The following is a 1,091-nucleotide window of genomic DNA, read 5'->3' on the forward strand; positions in this document are numbered from 1 at the left end:
ATAATTTCTCTGAGCCATTCCTCATTAAAAAAATTTATTTTAGGTTGGAGGTACATGTGAAGATTTGTTACATAGATAAACAAGTGTCACGGGGGTTTGTTGTACATATTATTTCATTACCCAGGTATTAAGCCCAGTACCCAATAGTTATCTTTTTTGCTCCTCTCCCTCTTCACACCCTCCTGCCTCAAGTAGACACCGGTGTCTGTTATTTCCTTCTTTGTGTTCATAAATTCTCATCATTTAGCTCTCACTTATAAGTGAGAACACATGGTATTTGGTTTTCTGTTCCTGCGTTTGTTTGCTAAGTACAATAGCCTCCAGCTCCATCCATGTTCCTGCAAAAGACATGATGATCTCAAAGAAACAGAAAATCAATACTAATTTTACAAGAATTAATTCAGATAAAGTTTGTAAATGCTTTAGCCCTATACTATCATATATTAGATTGCTAATAAATGTTTATTGAATAGCTTGAAGCTGAATTATTTATTTTAGCTAAATGAAAGAGTTTTTCTTTAACCTGGTGTAAGTGAATCCTCTGTCTTTGCTTCATCTTTCAGCATGTCTGCCATTAGATCCTGCCCTTTTAATTTAAACGTTTTCAGAATCCATCGTCTGGATTATTTCATAAACATTTTAATTAACTGGCCTTCACCCTGGGTCATTCTTTAAAACTGTGTTCTTCTGTTCCTTTATGGCTCAAAATGGTTACCTATATCCAGCATGGCAAAAGGGATTAACATTATGAGTCCATTTTGATAGTTTATATCAACAATTAAGTAGTCTTAGGTTCTACCTGGCTTCAGGGAGATGGAGAGCTTTGATCAAACTGTGGTATCCGCTATGGAATGCAAGTTGAGGCTCTTATTCCAAATATTTGGTGACCTTCACCTCTCAAGTTTAAACTATTCAGCCTATATTTGAAGACTTTTAATAATTGTTTACTATGCTCCCTATCCAAACTCACATCCCTTTTTCCTCCAAGTAAATCCATTATCTTGTCTTTTGAATACATATTAGATTCATAAACATCTCCCTAATGATACTTGATATGGTTTGGCACTGTGTCCCCACCCAAATCTCATCTC

This window comes from Homo sapiens, chromosome 3 (assembly GCF_000001405.40).
Source record: "Homo sapiens chromosome 3, GRCh38.p14 Primary Assembly".
In the NCBI taxonomy this organism is placed as follows: Eukaryota; Metazoa; Chordata; class Mammalia; order Primates; family Hominidae; genus Homo; species Homo sapiens.